Raw genomic sequence first — 26,363 nt, 5'->3', positions numbered from 1 at the left:
TTCCTAAACCCTGCAAAGGGGCAGTGCTACCTTATCTCCTGAGGATGGCCGTGAATGTAGAGGAGTCACGGGAGCTGCCCACATCACCCACCAGTGACTCTTCGCTCCCCACATTTTCCCCGAGGGCCTGACGTGCACTGAGCTGGGGAAGCCCTGCCAAGATAAACTCTCCTTCCCAAAGGCCACAGAAGACAGCAGGCCTCCGACACTGCCCACATCGAGCAGAAGGGACGGGGCAGAGGGGCATCTGTCAGGCTGACTGCTGTGTTCTGTGGGCAGATGGGGCCAGAGAGGACCCAAACATGGCTCCCTTTGTCACTTGGCCGAGGGGCCAGGCCACCGTGTACCAGACAGCTTTGCCCCACCAGCCTCTGCTGCTGGGCCAGCCCCCAGGGCCGTGACCACAGCTCTGCACGCAGGCAGTGCTGGGACCAGTGCCCTGGCAGTCACAGGGGTCCTGAGCCAATAAGCGCCCTGGGGGAGGAATCAGAACTCAGACCGTGGAGAAGAAGGTGTTGGCCAGGAGGGAACCAGGGTGGGTGCCGGGTCCTGTCCACGCTGGGATCTGAGATTCTAAGAGGTGGGTTAGGGGTAAGGGGGGCAGAGTTGGCCCATGGGGTGAGGGCAGTTCAGCAGAGATTGGGAAGACAGGACAACCTGGGAAAGAGCAGAGCATCCTCCCCAGCCTCGGTCCCTCTCCTGATGCAGTCCTCATCTCACTCATAGACTCTGGAAGTCTCTCTTTGGCGAACACCTAGCCCCCAACTCCCAGGGCACTTCCCAGACAGCCAATGCCACATCCCAGGCAGCCCCTGCTCTGCCCTTGGGGTCTGTGCCTGGCAGAAGGGCGGCAGACCCTCGGCCCCTCTTGGCCTGGGCCCCAGCTCCTCCGGGCCCTGGAACCAGCAGAAACACCCACCCTGCGCCTGATGGACTGGACATGCTTGTTCCCATTGGTGATGGTGTGTTGGGAGGGAACTGTTTTAGAAACCAATGTAAATCTGTGTCTACATCAATTCCACATGAGTTCAGTCATCATATGGGAAGGGAATCATAGCTGTGGGGGGCTCCATGCAGGACCTTGAGGGCCCCGAGGCCAGTCCCTGTGGCCACAGCAAGGAGCATCTGCTTTAGCTAGTTGGACAAGACTCTCTCCTGCCCAGAAACAGGCAGAAGGACTTCCCCTGCTCCCCACCCATCATCGTATCCCAAACACACCTGTGTGGATGGTCACCTCAACGTCTCCCCTCAGCCCAGTGCCCGCGCTCTTCCTGATGAGGGTTAAGCAGGAGCAGCCTCCTCTCCCCATGTCCATGTTGCAGGCGGCTGCCTTCTCCTCAGCTCCCACCGAGCAGAACAAGAGCCAGCCAGCTCTCTCCAATCCCAGGATTTTCCAGGGATGCTGATAACGATGGGGGGGCCCCAAGAAGCCTCCCTAAAGCAGGCAGGGCCTTGTGAGTGGGTGGTGGGAGGGATCAGGGCTTCCTCAGCATCTGTCAGTCCCTGGAGCATCTGAAGGGGCTCCCTACGTCAGGAGGAAAGAGTGGGGCCGGCCCCTGTGGGTTCCCAGAGCCTGGCATCTGCCGGTTCCTCTGCCCTCCCTCACAGACACCCTCCACAGAGCAGCACAGCACCGAGGACAGAGGCAGCAGCCCCAAGAGCATTTTCCAAGACAACTACATTTATTCACACTTACACACGAGGCCCCCAACGCACTGCTTCCCACCCCCACTCCCCAGCCCCTTCCCCCCAGACCCTCCCTTCCTGCCCTCCCCATTCAGCCACCCTCTCCCTCCCCTCCCTCCCCTACCCTCCAAAGCTAAGGCCCAGCAAGATCAGCACTGGGGGAGAAGAAGCTTTTGACCGCTTTGGGGCATCGGATGCCAGAGCCCCATCCTTGGGGATCGGCCCCAGAGAGCCTGCTCAGAAGCCCCTACTGGCTACAACGCTGCTTCTTCTCCTTCCTGGAGACCAAGGGGTCACCCTTTCTCTTTTGAGACTGTGAGGGGCCACCCAGCCCCCAAGTCAGGGATTGCTCCCCAGAGACCCTGAGCCCAGGCCCTGGGTGGGGTGTCTTTTCAGCAGGGGACAGGCTTCCAAAGAGAGGTCGCTTCTTGGCCTTGTTGGCAGGAGAAGGTGCTAGGTTGAGGCCTCTTCTCTCAGCAGATGGGAACTGATGAGTTCCCTGGGGTCCCCACTTTTCTGGGCTGAGAAGGCCCGAGGCAGGGACAGGGCTCTGGGGTAGCCACCAGGGCAGAAGCTTGTGCTGGGAACCCAAGAGGAAGGCCAGGCTGGGGAGTTCCTCCTCCTCACTTGACCCCTGAGCCAGCCCATGTGACTCCCTGACAGGAGACCCTCCAGGGAGATCCAAGGCATCCTTGGTACCCACGCCAGGGCAGGTGGGTCTGTGGTCCTGGGGAGGAGAGGTTGGCCGGGCAGCCCTCAGCCCAGGGGAATCCTGACATCCCAAAAGCACAACAGAGTCTTTGGACCTGGCCATGCCAGTGTGTGCTCTGCCTCGTCCCTGAGAGTCCCGGGCAGTCGTCTGGGGTGGGCAGGTTTCCATGCCAACCCCTTGTTGGGGGACAGGGACGTCTCTCTCTGCTCCTTGGCCAGCTGCAAACTTAGAAGAACTTGAGTCCAACCGGGCTGTGCCACGACTAGGGGCTGCCCTCGCATGCTGTTTCTCCTTCAAGGGTAGGAGGCGCTTCTCCACTAGCTGCGGGAGGAAAGGGGGCACTTACGGGCACTGCCCCAGGTGTGAGCGGGGCCCAGGGTGGTGGAGACCAGGGCACTTAGGCGGCAGGTAGGGAAGCCTGAGGCAGCTGGGCTTTATGTCAAAGAGAGAGGGTGTGGCTCTGCCGGGCCTCCCGTTGGGCCTCACCACAGCTTGCATGCTGACTCCCCTCCCTGGCTCCTGTCCATCCTACTCCCTCTGAACCTGCATCTTCCCACTCCAGAGTGGCTCCCCAAGAAGCCGAGCATCCCCAGCAGGGGGGATTAGACAATCAGGTGGGCCTTGTGTGCCAGGTCCCTCCTGCCCCTGGGGTACCTGGGCAAGGGTGAGTCCTTCCTCCTGCTCCAGCTCCTGGCTTAGGGCCAAGAAATCCATCTGTGGATCTGGGGAAAGCAATTCTTCCAGGAATTGGGGATGAATGACGGCCTCCACCTGGAAACAGAAGGAAGAAGGCGTGAGCTTCCTGGGCAGGGAGTAACCTGGAGCCAAGGACACCTGGAGGAGATGCAGAAAGCAGCGAGCGCCCCGTCCCCACCCTCCTGGGGCTGTCTCATATCATGGTGACCACCAGCTACAGACACAGACCACAGACCTGGTAGCTACACACACACAGACAGAGACACACAAACCACACACAGACACACAAACAGACCCACATATGACACAGGAAAAGACACAGACACAGGTAACGTACACACTCCACACTCACACCCACACAGACACACAAAGACACACAGTAACAAACCACAGACACAAACACACAGCAACACACAGACACACACACAATCACATACACAGATACTCAAATCCATGGAAATACACACACTGCTGAGTAGCTAAGGAACAGAGCTTAATTCCAAGGACCTGGGAGTGCCACCCCCTGGAATCCAGCAGACCCCAGCACTCCAGGCCAGCCCACCTTGGTGACGAAGTCTTTCTGGGAACACAGCTTGTCAGTGTAGCTCAGGAGGCCCGGGTCTGGGGGCGTCCAGTCCTCTTCCTGTGGCTGCTTCACTTCGCCCTCTTCCCGTTGTTTCTCGGGCTCCCCCGTGGCCCCGAGGGAAGGCCCCAGCAGCTCCTCCATGATGTCCACATACTCCTGCACCACTTCTGGGGGGATCTCCTCAGGGACCTTGGTCTCTGCTGGTCTCTGGGGCCTGGGTGGTGGCAGGCGGGCCTTGGTCTCTGCTCGCCGGTGGGGCCGGGGTGGTGGCCGGCGGGCCTTGGTCACTGGCCTCTGGGGCCTGGGTGGTGGCAGGCAGGCAGTCGGGGCCTTGGGGCCGGCCTTGCTGGGAAGGTACACTGAGGCAGAGAGGGAGGAGGACGGGCGTGGTGAGGGCCGCTCCTCCTGCTGGCACCACACAGGGGAGGGCAGGGCTTGGGGATGTGAAGTGGGTCCCAGCTGGGTCAGGACCACCTGAACCGCAGCGCCCCCGGAGGAGGCAGGAGGGGCACATCTGAGACAGCATCGCTTGGGAGGAAGTTTGGAGCCACCAATATGCCGTGTACTCTCCCCGCTCATCCCTGCTTCCTGGGCAGAGCATATGTGGAGTTTTGGACAGGCGAGGGGAGAGAGTAGCTAGGAAACTTGACCAGGTCAATACCGAACATATGCTCCTGGAAACTGTCCTGTTGGAGGGAGCAAATCCCCCTCTCGAAGGGAAGCATGGGGTGTGGGGACAGTGGCCTCCCTTGGCCCCTTTGGCCTTTGCCATGGCTCCTGTGGGAATGTGGGAAGCCATACCTGGCTGCTTGACCACCTCAGGGGCCGGGGGTCCTCGAGGTTCAAGCCTCGGTGTGGCTGGAGGAGGCAGGCACTGGGGCCCCTTCATCCATTGCGATTTCTGAATCTGCATCTCCTCCTCAGCCTCAAACTCCAGGAACCTGGCGGTGAAGGAGGCCCAGGCTGTGCTGAGAGGGTCCAGGCCCCCTCCCCCCAGGACCAGGCAGCGGCCGAGGGCAGGGATGGGAGGGAGTGCCTCGGGTGGGCTGTCCAGGCCCTCACTGTGTCCCATCCCCCAGTCCCAGGAGAAAGCTGCTCCCAGAGTTCTGGGCTCACCCTCCCTCACCCGGCCCCTGCAGAGCCCATGGCATCAACGGGGCTTCCTGACTCAACTCAGGGCCACGAGGTCCAGGAGGGTCTCGGGGGACCCCTCCTCCAGGTTTCAGCTGGCCAGGGGTGGGATTTATGGCAGAAGGCATCAGGGATGATGCCCAGATGCAGGAGTCCTGAGGCTAGGACTGTGGGCCCCTGAAAGATAACCCAGGGGCACGAGGCCTGGGAGACCCCTGGTCAGGAGGAAGCAAAAGCTGAGCTCAGAGGACAGGGCCCCTTTCCCCTGAGGCTGCTGTCTATCTGTCTGCCTTCATGGAGGGGACTGCCCAGGAGCAAAGGCAGTCAGGCCAGAGATGGGTCCCATGGTGTCCCAGGTGCAGGTCTCCCCAACCCAACTCCCTGGCCAGGCTGGGATGGGAGAAAACCGACTTCTGGCCACTGCTGTGAGGAGCCTGCACCCTACTCTTGTCCATAGTCACTAGCGCCCCTTCTCCCCATCCCCACAGCTGGAGGTGACCCACTTTGGTCTGTGATGCTGGCTGCTCCTGCCATGACCTCCAGTGTCAAGGCAGGGATGGCCCCAGGCCAGGCAGGGGGTGCTTCCCAATAGGCCAGGACAGAGACCCCAGAACACTCTAGGTGGCAGGAGCAGCTTCCTGAGGGAGCCAGGGGCCCAGAGTGTCCTGGGTTTCTCCACACCCTCCTCATACTCCACGTTGAGAAGCCACCATGGCCACCGGGCCTCTGTCATTCACTCTCACCCTGCCACGCGGGCCCCGCTCCCAGGACCCCAGACTCACTTTTCCGCCATCTCGTAGAAGATCATCCGGTCAAAGTTGCTCGTGTGCTGCCATTCCCGCATGGCCCGCCACAGTCCCTCCTCCAGGGTCATGGTGGGCTTCCGCCGGGCCAGGGATCGGAGAACTGGGCTGTAAACCAGTGCAGTCAGTCTCAGTCTATAAGCCCACCCTTCATCCCAAGCCCACCTGGTCCCAACACCTGGCCCCTGTCCTCCCCACACCTGTCCTGCCATCTGTCCCTGTCCTGTTCTCCCCCATGTGGGCTCCTCAGGCCCCAGGACACACCCCCAAGATCAAACATCAACACAAGCTACCAAGTGGCCTCTCCGACTGCCCCTCGAGTCCTCAGTGTTGAGAAGTGGACTCAGTACTATGGGTGGAACATGTGTGTCTCCAACATTCCTGTGCTGAAGTCCTCAGCACCAATGTGTCAGTATTTGGAGGCAATCAGGGTTAAAGCAGGTCATGAGCGTGGGTCCCAGTCATGGAATCCAAGCCCTGATAAGGGCAGAAGGAGACGCCAGGGCTCTTGCTCTCAGCCACGAGGAGACATAGCCAGAGACAGCTCTCTCCAGCCAGGAGGAGGGCCCTGACCAGACACCCGATCTGCTGTCACCTTGATCTGGGACTTCTGGCCTCTGGAACTGGGAGACATGAATGTGTCTTGATAAAGCACCCAGTCTACGGCATTCGTTACGGCAGAGCCTGAGCTGACTGAGACAGCGTGCACACAGAATGACCTGGGGGTGAGGGTTAAAGTGCAGGTTCCAGGGCCCCAAGACTGAGCATTTAACCGGCTTCCTGGGGACTCTGGAGCAAGGCAGCCCCTGGGGACGTAGCCTCAGGGCCCTGGAGCATGAGGAGCAGGAGCACACGTCCAGAACCAAAGCAGAGCGGTGTCCACGCCACTGCAAGCAGCAGGTCCAGATCCCACATTCCCACAGGAGCCATGGCAAAGGCCTGTGAGCCTGGGGCAGCTCCACCCCAAGAATCAGGGTCCCCAGTGCACCGGGACTCCGCTCCAAGGAGGAATGCAACCAGTTCCAGGGTGCGGGAACAGCGAGATTTTGGGGGATGAAAATGGGGCCACCTTCCACCTACACCCCAGGCAGGGGACTTCCCTAGGGGAACGGCCAGTGTGTTGCACGGTGGATGTGCTCAAGCTCCCGTTTGCTCATCAGCGGGAAACACAGGGTCACAGAGGCACCGCAGGGTGGAGAGAGGCAGGGACTGGGAATGAAACCACAAACTCTCCCAGATGCTGACGTTGCTGCCTCACAGTCACCACAGTCCATGGCCCTGGGCTGCTGGACTCATGGTGCACTCAGAGCTATCACTGGAGCCCGTGGCTTTGGGGAGTGCTCTCCTAGATGGCCTAGTCTTGATAATGATAGTAATGGGGACAGTAATCATAACTGCTGTCATGTAATGTGTCATAGCATGTGCCAGGCACTGTGCTATGCATGTCATATGTGAGCTCAAGTTATCTCTTCACCATCCTCTGAATGAAGCATCATTGTCCCTTTTTCTAGGAGGGATTGAGGGTGAAGATGCAAATACCTGCTCGGCATCGGCCCCAGTGCAGGGCCCAAGACCATCCCCCTGTGCAGGCTCCACCACCGCTGTGCTAACTGGACCTCAGCGGAACTGCGGGCATGTGTCAGGTTCCTGCTGGGTCCTGCAGCTCCTCCCCCCGGCCCCATGTGAGGTGCTCCTGGCCATCAATACTGGGTTAAAGGGGAGGCACTGGGGCGTGTACTCAAAGACCTAAACCCAAACCGTAGCTCACGTCACACCAGGAACCCTCTCTGACCTGGGTCTTCTGTAAACATTGTTGTGAAAATTATTGAAAGTAAGGATTGGCTGGACTCACGGGACAGTGACGGGCAGTTGAGATGAGGCCCCTGACAGTCTGTCCTGAGCCGCAGCCAGATTAATATGGTCAAAAATATACCTTCCCATAGTGCAGCCCATCACCCTCACAACCGCCCTGCAAGCTCCCCTGAACAGCGTGACCTCCCGTCCATCCAGCAGCCTCTTTACGTGTGAGCTGCAGGACCAGCTCCAATGCCCCGAGGACACTCACATGAGGAAGCACGAAAGCGCTTCGGTGTCAGGACTCTGGGGAAGGTGCCTCCGGGCCAGGGGCTTGTAGTGCTGCCAGAGTCGGAAGTTCTCATAGACACTCCTGGGGTTACAGGAGTCATCTGGCGGGGCCTTGGCCTGGGAGGAAGCCAGGCTGCCCTCTCCGTGAGCCCCTTGTGGCCATGGCCCAGCATTCCCTTGGGACACAATGGGGGGCAGCTGGGCAGCCGGTGGTGGTGGTGGTGGAAGAGGAAGGCCCTGGGACCAGCCTCCCTCACAGGCCTGGGTGCCCCCAACCACCTGGGCAGCCATAACAGGCACCACAGGAGCAGCTGCCAGGAGTAGGGGAGGTGGACACACAACACCTCCGCAGAGGGCGCCTGGAGCCTGCCAGACGAGGGGGGCCTGAGTTAGGACCAAGGTCTGCGCCTGAGCGGCCTTCACAGGCCCCACCTCTGTCCTCATCTGGACAAAGACGTTGGAAGCCCCGGCCCCACTCGGGCCGCAGCCATCCTGTTCTGTCACCAGAGGTGTGCTGGGGAGGGTAGACAGCACCAGAGGGCCGCCTGGAGGAGCCCCTGCAGTCACAAGGAGCGGCCCGTGTGCTGGGCCGGGAGCGGGTGTGGTGAAGGGCAGAGCCGTGAACACAGACAGGGAGGTGCCAGGGTTCGCGGTCACGCCCGGTCCCAGCGCTGGGTATGCTGTGGAGACAAAGGAAAGAGGTGAATGAGCTGGGGTCTCCAGGTCCACACTAGTCACTGGGGAATCAGAGGGGAGTCCCAACAGCTAAGGGCGTATGACAGGGAAACTGCAGCTTGCAAATGTCCCTGAGTGTGCATCGGATGCTCTGTTCCTCCACGGAGAGTCGCTCCACTAGAGAGCCTGGCCCCGGTCACCAAGACTCCCTGACCCCTGTCTCCCAAGAAGTAACAGCCAAGCCTTCGCTGCCCGAGGGTCTCCCTCGGGTGTCCCTGGCAGACCCTGTCAGCCTCACAGGCATCTCCCAAGCCATGGGTCAGGGATGAGTCTCTCAGCGGCTTGGTGGTCCTCAGCGTGCTCAGCAACAGGTGAGGGGCCTACCCCAGGGCAGTGCTCGGCACTCAGAAGGCCGACAGGAAGCCAGAAGCTTCCGAATATTATGGCCCCATCTCCTCTTCAATCTTCCTTTTCCTGACGCTCTTGTAAACCCCTTTCTTTCCCAGCTCAGACATAACAAAACAAAACCACTGGATGGAAATCTTTCCCAAGCCAGCGCCCTAGGAACCCTGAAGATAATCCATAACTCGTCATGCCCAGCATGCAAGTGATTGTCCTGGCACCACCCACAGCAAGTGCTAAATAGGGGTCAGATTCGGGCCACCCTTTCCGCAGTACTCGATGGTCCCGGCTGCCACTCAGGAAGCTCTGTTCCCAGGGAGCAGGTCTGAGAGGCAGTGGTGGAGTCCCCTGAGACAGTGTCACTGCATAGCCAGCAAAAGCCACACACGATTAGAACACAGCCAGCAAATGGCGAGCAGCAGAGCTAACAGGGGAGGTGTCTAGGGATTTTCACAGCTGCTGGTCATGTTACAATAGGTAGTGGGACAAGGAGCCCATCCCTGGCCCTTCTCCTTTGAGCTCCCAATGACTGAACATAGTGACCAACCAAAAACCAGGGGTTCTTGGGCCATGGGCCGGGTGAGGCAAAGTTGTCTGGAACTCATCCCTGTTCAATAGGACCTCATGCAGTCTCTAGTCAAGGGGAATAAGGGATACAGCACATGCACCTCATCATTCAGGACACGTATCCTAACTTGAATAATAATAATAAGAGAACCATCTTCCTATTCGTGCGCTACTCTCCTTCCTCTACTGAAAAGGAAACCAGCCTTTCCAGACCCTTCCACTGAGAACCAGCAAGAATCCACACCTGCCCCCCGTTCATGAGGTAGTATAAATGGAATAGGAGCAAATTCTTCATCTCCACAGTAACACAAAGTGCAGAGGACAGGCCATGAGCTAGCAGACAAGAGGAAGTGGGTCTGAAGACCTGAGCTTCCACAAAAGGGCAAACAATTCAGAACAACTCAGGAAACCCAGGCCCTGTGTTGCCTGAACTTCCTCATCTGCCCCCACCCCTGTTAAATCAAAGCCAACAGCTACCTGAACTGATGGAGAAGCCATCTCTAGGGAGAGAGCTGAGGGGCTCTGGGCTGTGGCAGTTACAGCAGCCCCCAGCCTCGCCCACCCAGGGGCTGTCACTACATGCTCTGTCACAGCCAACCCACCCAACAGTTTTCTGGCTGAGACCACTTCTCCCCACTCCTCCCTAAGATCTAGAAAACTCCAGTCCAAATCTCTCTGAACACTATGGAAGGGCACCTTCCAGGTGCCTGAAGATATGGCACAGGGTTCAGGCTTGCCTATCATCCTCCCGGGGCCACCAGCACAACATGATCCCACCACTCCCTACAAACACACAATGACGTGACCTGTCTCCTTCTAGAAAGGATCAATCCATCCACTCTGTCCTTTCTCCTACACGGTGTATTCCCCCAGGCATCTTGTTCCACCTCTAAGGGGCCGTCCTCCCTAAACACAGACTCAGGGTGCCATGGCCATCCCCAGGTGTGATGTCCTTGGGGACATCCAGTCTTCCCTCCCTCCTCAACATCAGCCCTATCAACTGTCCCCGGGGCAGTGTCAAATTTGAATTCCTAAGGAGTTGAGGCATGGCAGACTCAGATAATGCCCCCATCCCTACAGGCTTACCTCCATTTGAAGCCATCCCCTCAGGCTGGGCACTGACCACCGCTGTCTGGCAGTTTCCGCAATGAGAAAAGCCAAGGGTAAGACCCAGAGAGTGACCTGGCTCACCAGATGCTCCTGAGTCCAACTGAAACAGGGAAAATTTGAAAGTAAACAGGTTCCTGGAACATAGGACCCCAGACATTCTGCAGAGGGGGAGGGGCAGTGGGCAGCTGTTAGGGGTGGGGGACATTCTGTGAAGGGCTTTGGCCATTAGGCAAGAACCTGAGTTTCCCTTCCAACTGGAAGGCAGCAGCAGAGATGGCGTGTGCCTCTTTAGGCAACTTTTAAATTGTCCTTCTGACTCACAGCAAAAGCTTCTACCTGATGGCCCCTTTACTTCCATTCTTTATCAGCAGACCTACTTTTGTGCCAATCAACCCATGCTCCTTCCCACTTTGGCTCTTTCCCAGTCTTGACGAATTTCAACAGCGGCCTCACTTCGTGAACAAAGTTCAAAACACATTTTCAGTCTGAGAAACACAGGGGTTCTTAGGAAGGCAAGGGGACTGGGTGTTTGAAATCAGGATGGTCTCAGCCGATCCAGACTATTAGGTGGCTGTGTGCTTATCATTGTTTAGGAAGCAATCCTTGTACCCCCAGGTCATGCATGTTGCTGGAATCTCTGTCCACACCAGCAGGCCAGCCTTACGTCCCAGCCCCTTTGCTGGAAAGCCTCAATCCAGGAAAGAGTGGCTATGTGACCTACAGCACCGAGACCAGAAATCCTTTCATTTTGTTTCCCAGCATATTGTGCTGGTGTTAAATGTTTATGTTTTATCTTTTGAATGATTTTAATTTAACCAAGCAATACTTTTCATGGCTCCAAATTCAAACTGTGCACAGTGGAATAGGCAATGACCAGCCTTCCTCCCATCTCTTTTCCCTGGCCACATTTTCTTTCCTGGAGGAAACAGGTGTTATCTGATTGTTTCTCATCTTCACTGAAACACACCCTGGCTGGCCTCTCTCAGCTCACTGTTGGCCTCATCTTCACCATACGTTCTTGCTGTTTGGAATCCAGTGTCATCGCATGTGGTTCTCTGCATGGGAATTATTGTAGCCTGTCTTTAAAAAAAACTTCATTCTCATTTCCACACTGAGAATCACTGTCCGTTTATTAGTGTCAAAATGATAGGAAAGAGCACTCATGTTCTGTGTTGTGAACAAGGGGAGTATTAGAAGAAACTGGTCAAAGGAGATGAGGAGTGAGAACTCAGAGCACAGCAACAAAATCTTCTGAGACACACAAGTCACTCCCTGCTGGGCAGGGTAATTTTGCACGATGGGAGGGTGTTGGGGAAGGGAAGAGGCCTTCAGCCAGACCGGTGCACACTGCAAACATTCACTGAAACACACCCTGTCGGCACTTACGAAGCATTTGCCCCTTTCGAAGACATTTGGACTCAAGAAGGCAGAGTTGCAGGAAAAGGTAACAGCGGCCACACTGCAGGGGCAGGGGCAGGGGCAAGTGGTGGATTGCAAGTCTCAAGCCCAGGGTTCTCCCCCACTGCCCCAGTTGTGTGAGAAGGTCATTTCCTAACTCCTGTCCAATATCCCCATGAGTTCTCGGTTTTGTCCCAACTCTGAACCTGAATGGTCCAGCAAGCATTTCTGTGAAATGTCTCCACAGTGGCCACTGGGAGGGGAGTGACCTCCATGCAGTGACTGTCTGTCTGGGTGCTCCCAGGCCTTTTGTCCTCTGAGACAGAACTGCCTTCTTACATGCAGCCCTCTTCTACTGTGCAACTCTACCTCCATCTTAGCTGAGAAGATCAACGGAGAGCAATTCAAGCAAAATCATGGTAAACTTACCAAAACAAAACAAACCGTAAACACTTTGGAGATCTTTCTGAGGACTTGATCTTTTACCATGGGGCAAACTTAAATGATTTTCAATCAATAACTTCATCTAAGAGGGATGTTGAAGCAAAATATCATACTCAGATACTGAAGAAGCGCAGAATTTTTGGTTGCTTCCTCCCTTGTCAAGTCAGTCAGCTGATGCTTTCTCAAGATTCTCACACGTGGCTTTGATACAGGATTTGAATGAGTCTTTTTCTGAGCCAGTGATACAAAAAATATATTGTGGAAGTGTCTTGTCTTAATTCTGCAATCGCTTCTGTACATGTTTGAAGTCCTAGACCCCAGGAGGAGAGACAGTCAAATTAGCCAAAGGTAATTTGTGAAGACTGACCATTTTAGGTGTTGGCTAAAAGTCCTCCGGCCCCTGCTGTCTGAGCATCCCCACAGAAAGTCCTGGGCCGCACTGACAGCTGAGAAAGAATATCTCAGTGCTTGGATCCCCTGTTCAGAGGACACATGCTCTTCCACCCATAGAGGAATGGCGGCTCCATGCTGTGTCCTGCAGAGCTCTCAGTCTCTGCACTTGAGGCCCTGGGCCTGCATCAACGTGAAGGCTCTTCAGTGTTATCACGTGGAGACAGATGATAGGAATCCTGCAAATGAGCAGAAAGGATGTGACGATTAAAGTTTCTTCTGACGGTATTACAAACTGAAGTCAGTGAGTTCCTTCTCTACTAGTTTTTTATTGCCAACTGGAATTCTGCACTGTGTTGCAGAGTCAGGGGTGGGGAGCGTGGAATTGTTCCCTTACTATCTGCTGCTTTATCGACTGAAATTGATCAAGGCTACAACAAAAACATTTCTAGAAATCATTTGAATGCGGTAGGAAAAACTCTGGGAATGGAGTCAGAAGAAAGTATATTTTGGAGTGTGTTTTCAGGTCTAAAAATCTTTGCCAGAAATACTCTTTAATGGAACCTCCAGACTGAGTAGGAAAACAGGGCATACTGTTTTTTGAAAGGCATGAGCAGGAATGAAATCAATGCCATCCAAAGGGAATGCAAGACATGCAATTCGAGGATACTTTGCTTTAGGATAAACCCTCCAAAGGTAAACCTTTCAGCAAGGGTGTTACCTAAGTGCATGGACTGCAGGTTTGTATTACCGAAAATTAGGAGTGATCGTCGCAGACGCGCTGGTTTCTCAGAGGCACGGTCATGGAGGTTCCAATGAGGGGGCGTTGTCTGGCCCCAGGAAGCGCCCAGGTGCCGCGTCCCTCCATTTCCACATCTCCAGCGGGGCCCTCCTAGGGCGGGCTCCTGGCCTGCCCCGTGCGCCGCCGCAGGAGCCTTGAGGCGGGCAAGGTTCCAGCGCGAGGCCGGCCGCCCTCAACCGCTCCCAGTGGCGGTTGATGGCAGGGAGACGCGCAGCGCGAGAGCAAAGGGTGGTTACCCAATGGCCTTCGCTCTCATGGCGTCCTTCTTGGTGTTACCTAAAAATAAAGCCAAGGGTGATCAGAAGGTAATCACCTCCTGGTCATGCTCCCACTGGTCACCAGTGTCTGCGGGGCGACCCCACATTGTGACCAGAGCAGGCCTGTGGCTGTGCTCAAGGCGGGAGCGTTCATAGCTTTCCTAGTGGGGGCCCTGCGGGACGCCCAGGCCGCACTCCTTTCCCTTGCTCACCTGGCCCTGAAGTGAGGGGGGAGGTGTAACAATGCAGTGGGAACCTCAAAGTGTGTCTCGGCCGTGCCTTTCACATTCCAAACAATGCAAAAGCTTGAAGAAAACCTCAGCAGTTGAAACCGTGATGCAGTTCAGCAAAGAAGTAGCTCCTGTCCCCGTAAAACAGTGAAGTTCTCACGGACGACCTCATTGAGTAAGTTGTGAAGCTTGTTGACTTGATCAGAATGATCAACCAGCATGCATGTTCTAATACGCTGATTTGTCACTGATAGGAGCAGCTGCAAAGTGGAAGAACAGTCCTTTAGTCATAGTTTGTTCACTTGGTAGCACAAGTTGGTTGTGGATGCAAGAGTGTGGCCAAAGTCAAGAAAAGCTTCCATGAGAATTGCTTACTTATGTGGGATTTACAAATAAAAAGTAGTGGTATATTATTTGTAAATTGTAGCTACACATGTATCTAAAATTTACTGCACACACGTGTGTTATCTTGGGTGGTTGGGTTAGTGTGTACTTGAGAATGTCAGGAAGATTTATTTTGGATTTTGGAGGGTGTGAGATTTGTGCGGGTGGTTTTGTGTATGTGAAAATATGTTTATATGAATTCTTAGTTTGGAATTTGATATGTATTTAATTGGTGAGAATCTAATATGTATTCACATGTGTGGGTTGGTGGTGTCTGTGTGGAGACTGCAGATTAAAGAATGTCATAACTGGGCCGGGCACGGTGGCTCACACCTATAATCCCAGCACTTTGGGAGGCCGAGGCAGGTGGATCACCTGAGGTCAGGAGTTTGAGACCAGCCTGACCAACATGGTGAAACCCCGTCTTTACTAAAAATACAAAAATTAGCTGGGTGTGGTGGTGCATGGCTGTAGTCCCAGCTACTCGGGAGGCTGAGGCAGAAGAATCACTTGAACCCAAGAGGCGGAGGTTGCAATGAGCCCAGATCGTGCCACTGCACTCCAGCCTGGGCGACAGAGCGAGACTCCATTCCCCGCCCCCTAAAAAAGAAGGTCATAACTGTTTTTGTGAGAGTGTGTAGGAGTGAGAGTTTATATTTGGAGAATATGAGATGTAAGATATGTATACCAGAAGAATTGGGGTTATATATTTGTGATTTGGGTTGTGAAGATGTATTTTCCATGTGTTTTCTCAGATGAATGTTGGCGATTTGTATTTGTCTAATGTTTGGCAGATTTGGAAGAATTATCTTGTGCACATGGGCAATAACAGAGAAAGTGCTTGTGTCTATTTTGTGGATGTACGCTCTGTTTGGTTTACGTATTTGGGAAATGTAGGAAGACCATTTGTATACTCGGGGCATGTTGCATGGTGATGCGTGCTTCTTTTCATGATTTTCAGGGGGTGTGTATGGCTATTTCAATGTGTGAGGGCAGATCCATGTCTACTGGGGGACTGGTAGGATGAATGTGTGCAGTTATGAGGTGGAGTTTATATGATTCTGTGTCTTGGAAGATGGAGGAGTTATTTCTGTGTGAGCATTTGGAAGTGTGATTACATATGTGCAGGTATTGTGGAACTGTATGTGTATTTGGGGATATGAGGTGGCATGTTTGCATATTTGTGGCGTGTTAGTTAATCGCGGGTATATTTAGGGCATGTAGACAAATACATGAGTATTGAGTCTGTGGGTGTGTTCAAGGGCGTGGCAGTTTAGATGAAGGTTTTGTGGAGCTATGTGCTTGTGTTTTTCAGTAAGTGGTTATTAGGGTTATATATTCTGGGAATTTAGTATGTGTGTGTCTGATAGAGAGATGAGGTTCTCTTTTTATACAGGAGAGTGGGAGAGTTGAATTTATATGTATTAGAGGTATGTGATATGGTTATTGGTTAGTACTTGGCAATGTGGGAGCTGGTTCATACTAGATTGGGATAATTTGGGATTGGGAACTGTTTTTATGGGTATTTATAAATGATATGCTGGAGATATTTCTGTGCATCTTGGGTGTGTATACTGGTTTGTGTGTATATTTATCAGCAGATAGATGAATTATCTAAGTCTGTTTATAGAATACGGGATTGTTAGTATTTAAAGTGTATTTCTTTGGAGAATGCTAGGATGTTCGTACATGTGTTTGGGCATGTTTAGGGGATGAGGTGAGGAGGTTGTATTCTGGAGATGTAGCATATTGATTGGATAGTGTTTCGGGGGATTTATACACTCAGGGATTGGGGATATTTGTGTGAGTTTGTATGTGCCCATGGGTATATGAAAGTTGTGTGCGTATATTAGAGTATTATTGGTGTTTTTGTGGGTTTTTTTTTTTTTTTTTGTATTGTATGGGTTTTATCTGGGAGGGTGAGGTGTGTATTCATGGGTAGTTTGTGAGTGTGTATATGAGGGGTTTTGGGTATATTAAGACTTAGTGGTCCTCTGTGTCTGTTGTGAAATGTAATACTCGCAGAATTTGGTGTTGCCACTTGTATGTGTGTTCTCAGAGTTCGTGAGGTGGACTTATATGTATTTGATAAAAATAGTTTGTGGTTCTGTGTGTATTTGAGTTTATGTGGCTTCTGTGTTTTGTATTCTGGGAGATGTGGGAGGTTCAGTGCATGTATTTGGAAACAGAGAGGCTGTGTAGGTTGTGTTTGGATTCAAGAATCATGGATTCCTGTATTTTAGAGCTGTGGGATTGTATGTGATTCTTTTTCTGGGTGATGCATGACACAAGTGTTGTATACCTTGTGATTTTTTTTTTTGAGCCTATGCCTATAGGATTTTCATTATGTACTGTTAACAAATCTACTGAAAAGGATTTTCTTTAAAAAATAACAAAAGAAAAAAATAGAAATTTGATTCCACTGAGCTGTTTGCAAATCAAGGAGTCCCAGCCTTCAGTGCAAAACAAAGATACACTCTGAAAGAACAAAGAGAGGTATTATCTTTTACAGAGAAATTCGTTCTCAGATTCCCGATCTGGTTCACTCTGCAAATGAGGGATACAAGCTTGTTTATTTCTGATTGGCTGATGCAAGTCACAGTCTATTTCTTAAGTCCATATGATGAAATGGTACCCCTTGATTCAGGTGACATAAACAGGAACAGACAGCTGTGAAAGTCCCAAAGTAACACAAGTACGTGGTTTTTGCAGGAAACAGGGTAAATGTGTGAGACTTGCAGTCAGCAAATGGCTGCTTGGCTCCATTTTGAGTTTAGGCCCAGTTAGCCACTCATGATCAGCCCTTTCAGGGTTCACACTATATATGGGTATATATGGGTACTGTGTTCATTGTACGTGTTTGTATTTGGGCACGTATATATGTACATATATGGTTTTAGCAGTGAGGTGAGCATTTGGGGCAGGTAGAGTTTTGTCTGCAAATTTAAGTAATAATTGGTGCAGGCCATCTGTGTATTTAGGGTACAGGTAGCAGTTGTGTTGCTGGTGGGCTGGTTCAGGTTCTTGACTTTGCTGCACAAAAGAAGTCTTACTTTGAGAGTGAGTCCAACGTAAAAGTAAGCAAGAGAGGTTACTGCAAAGTGAATGTACACTCTGACAGCCGATCAGAGTGGGCTGCTCAAAGGTGAGACAGCATTGACTGACACTGGGGAAACCTCCTTTATGGGAGCCTTACATGACTATTCATGAAGGGGTGGGAAGGGGTGTCACTGTTAAGCACTCTCTGGACTGTTCTCTGGACGTGCATGCGCTAAATGCTGCACATGCTAGTGCCTATATCAGGTGAATCATTAACATCTTAAATCTCTACCCAAGGGTGTGTTTTTCACTGTTATAATGAGCACTGGTCAACCCAGGGACACTAATCATGGGTTTTCACACTTGTGCGAATTTGGGGATTTCCCCTTCTTCTTTTCCACCTCCTTACTGCAGGACCTCCTTGTGCACTGTCGGATGGTTTGTTCTCTTCATCTGTTTAGCAAGGTTGTTCTCCTTTAATGGAGGCTATGGCCACCCTATCCTATCTCAGTTGTGTGTGTCTGTTCAGGATATATGAGGAGGTTGTGTTCTGGAGGTACATCGTTTGGTTTTGTTTTTATATTTGGGGTGAGAGTTGTGGGTCCTACTCAGGGTGCAGGTAGATTGTGTACACATATTCCTATGAAAGGATGTGGCTGTGCTGGAGCTGGCTTGTACTGGCTTGGGGTAGCCACTGGGCATGGCACATCTCTTCTCATCTCTGTGTTCAGTGGCGTTAGGTTGGTAGTTTAAAATTAGTCATGCTGAGATATTTACACCACTTAAGCATCACAATTCTAGGCTTTCCTATTTCCCCCTGGAGAGCATTTTATTAAGCAGTTAGCAACACACCACTGGGGTGGGGGGCGGTGTGTGTGTTCAGGATCTGTAAGCAAATGTTTGTATGAAGCAAGAATATTGAGGCTTTAATAGGTGTGTATTCTGGGGATTCTATGTGTATTGTAGTGATGCAGAATGACCAGGGAGCATGGTTGAGAATGACCCTCCCTGGTCATTCTGCATCACTGTGTTACTCCTAAATAGGTGGTTCATTCTTAGGGCCAAAGAATCCATATAAATGGTAGTTTCTTGCTCTTCCTCCCACAGATGGATGCAGGGGTACCTGCACCTTAGGCAGGTGGTTGCTCCTTCAGTATCTGTGTGTTCCTAGCATCTGGGTCCTCAGATGGGTGGGCCTGGTAGACAGAACACTGTGCAGAGCAGAACTTTTCTAGATATTGTCCGTGTGATTGGCACAGTCAGAAAGATGTGGGGTTTCCAGGACAGGAGGTCAGATGTGCCATGTCTTCTCTCAGTCCTGATGTCCCTGCTGATTCCTCTGGGGCATGGCGAGTGACGAGGACACCCTCTAACATACGTTCCATGAGATGAAAGCCTGCAGAACCTGTGCCTGCACTACCATCTGCCTCCTGGGTGGGGATACTATTGGGTGTCAGGCTGAGAGCTAGGCCACCAGTTCTCAACCAACCTGTCCCCATGGAAACCTGAGGCTTCGGGGCTAAGGCAGGACCTCCAGCAGGTACCCAGTGTTGAGAATATGTGTTGGTTTCTGTGTTAGGAGTTTTATCTCAGTGGAGTCTTGGTAAAAAGAGGGAATCAAAGGCACGTGACATTTTCTTCTTTCTCTGGTAAAGTGAGGAATGAATGTTGACCATTTCTTTCTGAAGTTCCATACAGAACATGTATACTCAGCCTGAGGAGCCAAGGTGATTCCTTAGCTGCTCTTGGAGAAGGTGTCATCTAGTCTTCACAAGGAGTCTTCAGGCACAAGGGCCTGAATCTGATTACTCGTGGAAAGCATTGGGCAGAGCTTCACAGTCCCACCTAGAGCTGGGCTGTAATTCTAGGGACAAAGTGGAGGAGCAACAAGGAAGTGGTGGGGAGCACACCTTTAGAACCTGGGCCTGGGGAGGGCAGGCCAAGGAAGCCTGAGTTTACATGGGCTCAGGTCCTGGGGCAGAAGCCAGACACAGAGCCTGAGCAGCCAGATTCGCTCCGGCCTGGGTTGTGGGTGGGGATGAGCCTCCTCTTGTGCTCCTGTCTGGGGCACCCCTGAGCTGCAGGTGAAGGTCTTAGTTGCACCTTGGCAGGGATGTACAGCCAGGCCTGGTGCTAAGGAGTGAGGAGGGTAGAGTCAAGGAGAGGAGGCACCGATCTGTGTCCCTTCAGCAATCTGGAGCATGATGTTAGATCCTGTTAGGGCGACCTCCCACTCGCATCTCCTGGATCTTCTGTCACTGGGAGGCTCAGGACCCCAAGAGAGAATGGATTCGGTTTCCCCTGATGTGTTCATCTGGTTCTGGGTCCCCATTCTCTCAGCATGTTGGGTGCTGGCCCTGCAGGTGTGGGAGAAGCCTGGCAGGGGCGGGGGTCAGTGAAGTGACATGGGCAGAGCTGGGCAGGCTCTGTCCTGAGGGGTGCTGGGAGCTGGGTTCTGGAGAGACAGGGAAGCCCCCTGAGAAAATGTGGCTCTGATGTTTCTGAGAACCCAGAATACAGGAGCTGCAGAGGGGGAGGGCTTGGTTCACCCCACATGTCCCACCCCATTTGGGCTCACCCCACACATCCCACCCATCCCAGTGAGGTGGTGGTGGTCAGCCACCTGTTTGTGTTCACGTCTGGGGTCACCGTAAGCCAGGCAGGATCCAGACCTTCCACTGTGACTCTGACCCTCACCCACCAAATCTTAGCCCTCTGTACAAGGTGTTTAAGGGGCCCCAGGGGGCCTGGGGGCCCAGTGAGCAGCCCCCCAACAGGGAGGGACAGGCTTGTGGTGCCAGGCTCTGGTAAACCAGGGCCTGCAGGAGCCATGGGTACTTTCCTGATGCAAAGAGGAAGGAAAAGGAAGGGAGCGGAGCCCCGCCTGGGCCGCAGGGCAGTGCACTCCTCAGCCGGCTTCCTCTGGTCACGCCCGCGGGGCCGCAGCACTGTGTGAGGGGTGGGGCCCTGGCACCTAGCTTGGGCACGTGCCCTCCTAGCCGGACCTCCCACAGGCAGGGGCTCTGCTCCCGCCTGCCTCTGCCAGCCCACTAGTGCTCACTGTTCCCTAGGTGTGTTTGTCAAAGTGTCTCTGATGAACCACAACAAGTTTGTCAAGTGCAAGAAGACTTCAGCTGTGCTGGGCTCCATCAACCCTGTGTACAATGAGACCTTCAGCTTCAAGGCCGATGCCACCAAGCTGGATACCGCTAGCCTCAGCCTGACCGCGGTGCAGAACATGGAAGGGGACAGTAAGGCCACACCCTACCCTGGGCTGCTGGGATGGGGACCACGAGGGGCTGCCGAGTGTTCAGGCAGAGTGAGTGCCTCCTGTCCTGACCTCAGAAGGAGCTGTACGAGCTCCCTCCCTGGTTAAGGAAACTAGTGCTCAGAAAGGCTGAAATACTTGCCCAAGGCCTGGGTTTCATGCCCAGCTTTAGTCCAGTTGAGCTCTGTCTGTGGCACCCTAGAAACAGGTTAAGCAGCCAGGCATGCTGGCTCACATCTATAATCCCAGCACCTTGGGAGGCCAAGGTGGGTGGATCACTTGAGCTCAGGAGTTCAAGACCAGCCTGGCCAACATGGTGAAACGCCCATCTCTACTAAAAATACAATAATTAGCTGGGCGTGGTGGCACACCCCTGTAATCCCAGCTACTTGGGAGGTTGAGGCGGGAGGATCTCTTGAACCCAGGAGGCGAGGCTGCTGAATCCGTCAAAAAAAAAAAAAAAGGGCCGGGCACGGTGGCTCACACCTGTAATCCCAGCACTTTGGGAGGCCGAGGTAGGCAGATCACGAGGTCAGGAGATCGAGACCATCCTGGCTAACACGGTGAAACCACGTCTCTACTAAAAATACAAAAAATTAGCTGGGTGTGGTGGCTGGCGCCTGTAGTCCCAGCTACTTGGGAGGCTGAGGCAGGAGAATGGCATAAGCCTGGGAGGCAGAGCTTGCAGTGAGCCGAGATGCACCACTGCATTCCAGCCTGGGCGACAGAGCGAGACTTCGTCTCAAAAAAAAAAAAGAGGTTGGCTGGGTGCAGTGGCTCACGCCTATAATCCTAGCACTTTGGGAGACCGAGAGGGGTGGATCGCGAGGTCAAGAGATCAAGACCATCCTGGCCAACATAGTAAAATTCCGTCTGTACTAAAAATACAAAAGTTAGCTAGGCATGGTGGTGCACGCCTGTAGTCCCAACTACTCGGGATGCTGAAGCAGGAGAATCGCTTGAACCCGGGAGGCAGAGGTTGCAGTGAGCCAAGATCGTGCAACTGCACTCCAGCCTGTCCACAGAGCGAGACTCTGTCAAAAAAAAAAAAAGAAAAGAAAAAGAAAGAGGTTAAGCAATCGCCTCTGCTGCCCTCTTCTGGAGCAAATCACCCGAGAGAGTGGGAGGGACCAGGGCTGCCACCAGCCCAGGGACCTGGTGCTCTGACCTTCCTCGTGCCCTCTAGATGAGCCTTTGGGGTTCTGGGCGAGTTCTGTCAGCCAGCTCTCCCACACTGCCCCACACCCCAGCACCCACTGCCACTCTGGGGAAACAGAGCCATCAGGCCGTGGCTGGCCACATGGCCTGGACTTAAGACCCTTCTCCACAGTGGCCAGTGAACGTTACTGCTGAATGTACTCTCGGATGGCCGAGGCCTTCTTTCTAGAGGGGCCCTTTCCTCCCTCAGCTCTTTGGCATAAGGTAGACTTAATACGGCCCCACAGAAGGGTGTGGGTCAGAGCTGGTGGCCCTCAAGGAGAGAGTCTTTCAGGGCTCTCCTTCCTCCCAATCTCCCAGGGGGAGAAGCAGCCCTTCCAGCTGCAGAGCAAAGGCAGGGCCCCTTTGGGGGCCGTCAGCTCCCACTCAGAGAGGAGGGGAGTTGCTACTTCCTCCTGGGGAGGAGGAGGGAGGAAAGGAGGTCACTGGGGACGGGGCTTCTGTGCTCAGGAGCACACTGGTGCTCTCCCTCCCCTGCAGAGAGCCAGCAGCTGGGCTGAGTGGTGGTGGGCCCCTACATGTACACCCGTGGCAGAGAGCTGGAGCACTGGGACGAGATGCTCAGCAAGCCCAAGGAGCTGGTGAAGCGCTGGCATGCGCTCTGCCGCACCACGGAGCCCTGACCCTTCGCCCAGCACCGCGGTTCCGCTTTGGGAGCCGACCATCCTCGCAGTTGCACGTGACAGCCACAGCCACACGCATGGACGTTTCATCCAACAGCTCCCCGAGCTGCCAGGCCAGCCCGAGCCAGGAGGACGTGAGTGCTGATATGCAGGAGAGAAGAGGGGACAAAGAAGTCCTGGCCCGGTCAGCGGCTCTGGCCATACAGCCTTCCGACACACTCCCTCCTCCTTGCCTGCAGGGCTGCCTGGGCTCGGAATCCCAGCCCCTGGTCCTCACAGCCCTGATTTGGACCAGAATCTCAGGTGCTCAGAAGAAAGATCCTGTTTAGTGATGACCCAGCTCTACCTGCTGAATGGACCTGCAGGGTAAACTTGGGTGCCTCCATCTGGGAAAGCTGATGATGTGTTCATGCAGTCGATGACCCTCACTGCTTTTTCAGCCAGGGTTTCTCTGCCTTCTGCCTGGCAGAGAAAACACACTGCTATGGGGAAAATCACAGGGAGGGCGCTGTGACCAGCACACTCAGGCACCAAGTGTCGGCATGGCTCACTGTGCTGGGTGAAGGCCTCCCTGAGCATTAGGTCCTCCACGGGGCTGTGTCAAATGCCCTCCCACATTGTGTCAAGTCTGCCCATGGCCCACCCTCCCCACAGTCCAAAACCACACAGCCCTGGTTCTCCAGCTGTTCTGCTGCTGTTTCTGTGCTCTCCCTGATTAAGAGCATTCAGTTCCTGGGCTCTCCCTTTGAGCAGGAAATGGTGAAAGCATGTGGCTATGGTATAGCCCACAGGGCTGAGATTGCTGTGTTGCAGTATTGATGTAAAATTTGTTAAGAAGGAAGTACCCACAGATCACTGCCATCAACTCCCCAGAAGTTGCACTCAAGCTAGTGAGCAGCCCTTGTGCTTGTCACAGTTACTGTAACAGGTAGTGTGTATTTGCACCTGGCATCGTGCAGCCTGCACGTCAACACGTTGTTTTGCGTAACTAGAACAGCACATGGAACCACTATCTCTTTCTCTTTTTTCCTTCTTTTTCTTTTTTTTTTTTTTTTTTTTTTTTTGAGACAGAGTTTCCCTCTTGTCACCCAGGCTGGAGTGCAATGGCGTGATCTCGGCTCACTGCACCCTCCACCTCCCAGGTTCAAGCGATTCTCCTGCCTCAGCCTCCCAAGTAGCTGGGATTACTGGCACCCGCCACCATGCCTGGCTAATTTTTTTTATTTTTAATAGAGACGGAATTTTACCATGTTGGCTAGGCTGGTCTCAAATTCCTGGCCTCAGGTGATCCACCTGCCTCAGCCTCCCAAAGTGCTGGGATTACAGGCATGAGTAACCGCACCCGGCCCGACCAGTATCTTTTTCTTATGCAGTGAAACAACTTTAGCAAAAGAGGCAATGAATGTTATACTGAGTTTGTACCTCTTTAACTCCACCTGCAATTTCTGTCAATCTACAAATACAAGTGTCGCCTCGCAGTGTTTCGTATGGACAGAATATCTTGTGTTTGCTTTTTGTCACTTATTTCACTTGCACATTTTCTTTTGTTTGTTTGTTTGTTTGTTTTTTGAGACGGAGTCTCGCTCTGTCGCCCAGGCTGGAGTGCGGTGGCGCGATCTAGGCTTACTGCAAGCTCCACCTCCCGGGTTTACTTACGCCATTGTCCTGCCTCAGCCTCCGGAGTCGCTGGGACTACAGGCGCCTGCCACCACGCCCTGCTAATTTTTTGTATTTTCAAGTAGAGACGGGGTTTCACTGTGTTAGCCAGGATGGTCTCGATCTCCTGACCTCATGATCTACCCGCCTCGGCCTCCCAAAGTGCTGGGATTACAGGCGTGAGCCACCACGCCCGGCCCACTTGCACATTTTCAAAGTAGTCCACAAAGCTGTAGTTTCTAATAGCTTCATAGTTCACATGTAATAGGGGTTCTCTGTGTGTTTATAGAGCAGGCTACTACAGTGGAACTGTTCCTGTTTCATCTGACATCCGGATAGATGCCAGCCACCCCCACATTCCAAAGTGAGATTTCTGACTAGCAGTGACTTTTCTAGGGCCACGTGGAAAAGTTGATAAGTATCCTTTTCTGCAGGACAGAGTAGACTGGTATCTCTGACTCATCCCTGAAAAATCTAAATGGCAAGAGACTAGCTGGCTCTCTGATGGGGAGGAGGTTGTTGTTTTGGTTGTTCTCTACAGACATAGTCAGGGCAAAAAGCATACACATGCTTTCCATGGACCAGAGAGACCTGGCCTGGGTTGTCTCAAATCCTGTCCACAAGGCAACTCCAGAAGAAAGAAGCCCTTTACATTTCCATAAAACACTTTAGAATCAGCTAGTCAATTTCCACAAAATAAAGTGCTAGAATTTTATTGGATTTAATTGATTATGTAGAACAATTTGGGGGCCATTTGACATCATTAAAATATTCAATTTTCCTATTCATTAACATGGTATATCTCTTCACTTTAAGTCTTTTGTATGTTTCTCAGAACTATTTTTGTGGTTTTCAGTAAAGTGTTCTTGCACATCCTTCAATAGATTTATTCTTAGACGTTTTATATTTGTTTATGGCTAGTATATACAGATTCTGTTGCTACAAAACTATGTTGACCTTGTTATCCAGTGAGTGGCCTTGTGACATTCATTTAAATTATAATAATTTGCAGATTATTTTTGTATAATCATGTCCTCTGTGAATGACAGTTTTATTTCTTCCTTTCTTAATCTTTATGCCTTATTTAGCTCTTGCCAAACTGCAGGGGCTGAGCAATTGGACAAGATAAAGAAATAAAAGTGATCCAGATCATAAAGAAAGAAGTAAAACTATATCTGCACATGACATAATCTTGTCTATGGAAAATCCTAAGGAATCCACACACAAAAAAACTACTAGAGCTAATAAGTTCAGCAAGGTTGCAAGATATAAAATTGGTATACAAATTGCAGTGGCTAGGACCTCCAGCAGAATGCTGACTATAAGTAGTGATAGTGGGTATTCTTGTCTCATCCTCAATCTCAGGGGTGGTGGGTGTGGCATGTGGAGAGTTGTCAATATTCACCATGAAGTTTGATGGTTGTTATAGGATTTTTAATGTACTCATTAACATATATTCTCAAGCTGTTAAAAAGATTTTTTTTAATTACAAATGAGGTTAAATTTCTCTCAAATACTTATTCTGCACCTTTTGAAATAATTTTATTTTTCTCCTTTATTCTTTGGATGTGATGACTTATACTAATTGACTGTTGAATGTCAAACCAAACTTAACATTCTTGTAATAGAAACCAGCAGGGTGTGTACGCGTTTGTGTGTGTGCACAGGTTTATACACATAAACACAATAATACTTGGACTTATTTATTTAAAATTTAGATTTATTAGAGGGAGCATGGCCATAAAATAAAATAAAATAAAATTTAGATTTAAGTCAAGCTCAGTGGCTCACATCTATTATCCCAGCACTTTGGAAGGCCAAGGCAGGTAGATTGTCTAAGCTCAGGAATTTGAGACCAACGTGGTGAAACTCGGTCTCTACAAAAACCACAAAAATTAGCCAGGTATGGTGTCACATGCCTGTTGTCCCAGCTACTTGGAGGGCTGGGGCAGGAGTATTGCGTGAGCCCAGGAGGTTAAGGCTGAAGTGAGTCATGTTCACGCCACTGCACTACAGCCTGGATAACAAAGCGAGACTCTGTCTCCAAAAATAAAATAAGTAAATAAATAAATAAATAAAATTTAGATTAATTTGCTGTTATATTTTTATATAAACTATGACATAAGTATAAACAAAAAAATAAAATAAGTAAATAAATAAATAAAATTTAGATTAATTTGCTGTTACATTTTTATATAAGC

The 26,363-nt window shown here is 52.1% G+C and overlaps 1 protein-coding gene across 1 annotated transcript, besides 2 other annotated features; it reads right to left on the bottom strand.

The window, feature by feature from the left end:
- Window positions 1–1,663: 1,663 nt before the first annotated feature.
- NUTM2A (NUT family member 2A) lies at window positions 1,664–11,194 on the bottom strand. The gene is made up of 7 exons (NM_001099338.2): window positions 10,430–11,194; window positions 7,680–8,379; window positions 5,594–5,722; window positions 4,482–4,621; window positions 3,657–4,039; window positions 3,053–3,169; window positions 1,664–2,719 (listed from the first exon to the last, which is right to left on the bottom strand). The coding sequence occupies exons 1-7, from the start codon at window positions 10,809–10,811 to the stop codon at window positions 1,934–1,936; spliced, it is 2,637 nt and encodes an 878-aa protein (NP_001092808.1). The 5' UTR covers window positions 10,812–11,194; the 3' UTR covers window positions 1,664–1,933.
- Window positions 6,873–7,647: an enhancer, noted in NCBI's record as "H3K4me1 hESC enhancer chr10:88988752-88989526 (GRCh37/hg19 assembly coordinates)". NCBI's record gives its function as "activates a minimal SCP1, AML or CMV promoter by ChIP-STARR-seq in naive H9 embryonic stem cells {active_cell/tissue: H9 hESC(naive)}" and the evidence as "EXISTENCE:reporter gene assay evidence [ECO:0000049][PMID:30033119]".
- Window positions 8,422–9,196: an enhancer, noted in NCBI's record as "H3K27ac-H3K4me1 hESC enhancer chr10:88987203-88987977 (GRCh37/hg19 assembly coordinates)". NCBI's record gives its function as "activates a minimal SCP1, AML or CMV promoter by ChIP-STARR-seq in primed H9 embryonic stem cells {active_cell/tissue: H9 hESC(primed)}" and the evidence as "EXISTENCE:reporter gene assay evidence [ECO:0000049][PMID:30033119]".
- Window positions 11,195–26,363: the final 15,169 nt, after the last annotated feature.

This window comes from Homo sapiens, chromosome 10 (genome assembly GCF_000001405.40).
Source record: "Homo sapiens chromosome 10, GRCh38.p14 Primary Assembly".
Taxonomy (NCBI): Eukaryota; Metazoa; Chordata; class Mammalia; order Primates; family Hominidae; genus Homo; species Homo sapiens.
The sequence above is the reverse complement of the archived record's forward strand: the minus strand, read 5'-3'. Positions and strand labels throughout refer to the sequence as shown.

Excerpts from the sequence above, each read along its gene's own strand:
- NUTM2A (NM_001099338.2), bottom strand. The coding sequence starts at position 10,811 with ATGGAAGTAAAGGGGCCATCAGGTAGAAGCTTTTGCTGTGAGTCAGAA. Across the intron at positions 8,380-10,429 it reads GGGGATGGCTTCAAATGGAG|CATACCCAGCGCTGGGACCG; the intron begins GTAAGCCTGTAG and ends TTGTCTCCACAG. Across the intron at positions 4,040-4,481 it reads TGAGGTGGTCAAGCAGCCAG|TGTACCTTCCCAGCAAGGCC; the intron begins GTATGGCTTCCC and ends TCTCTGCCTCAG.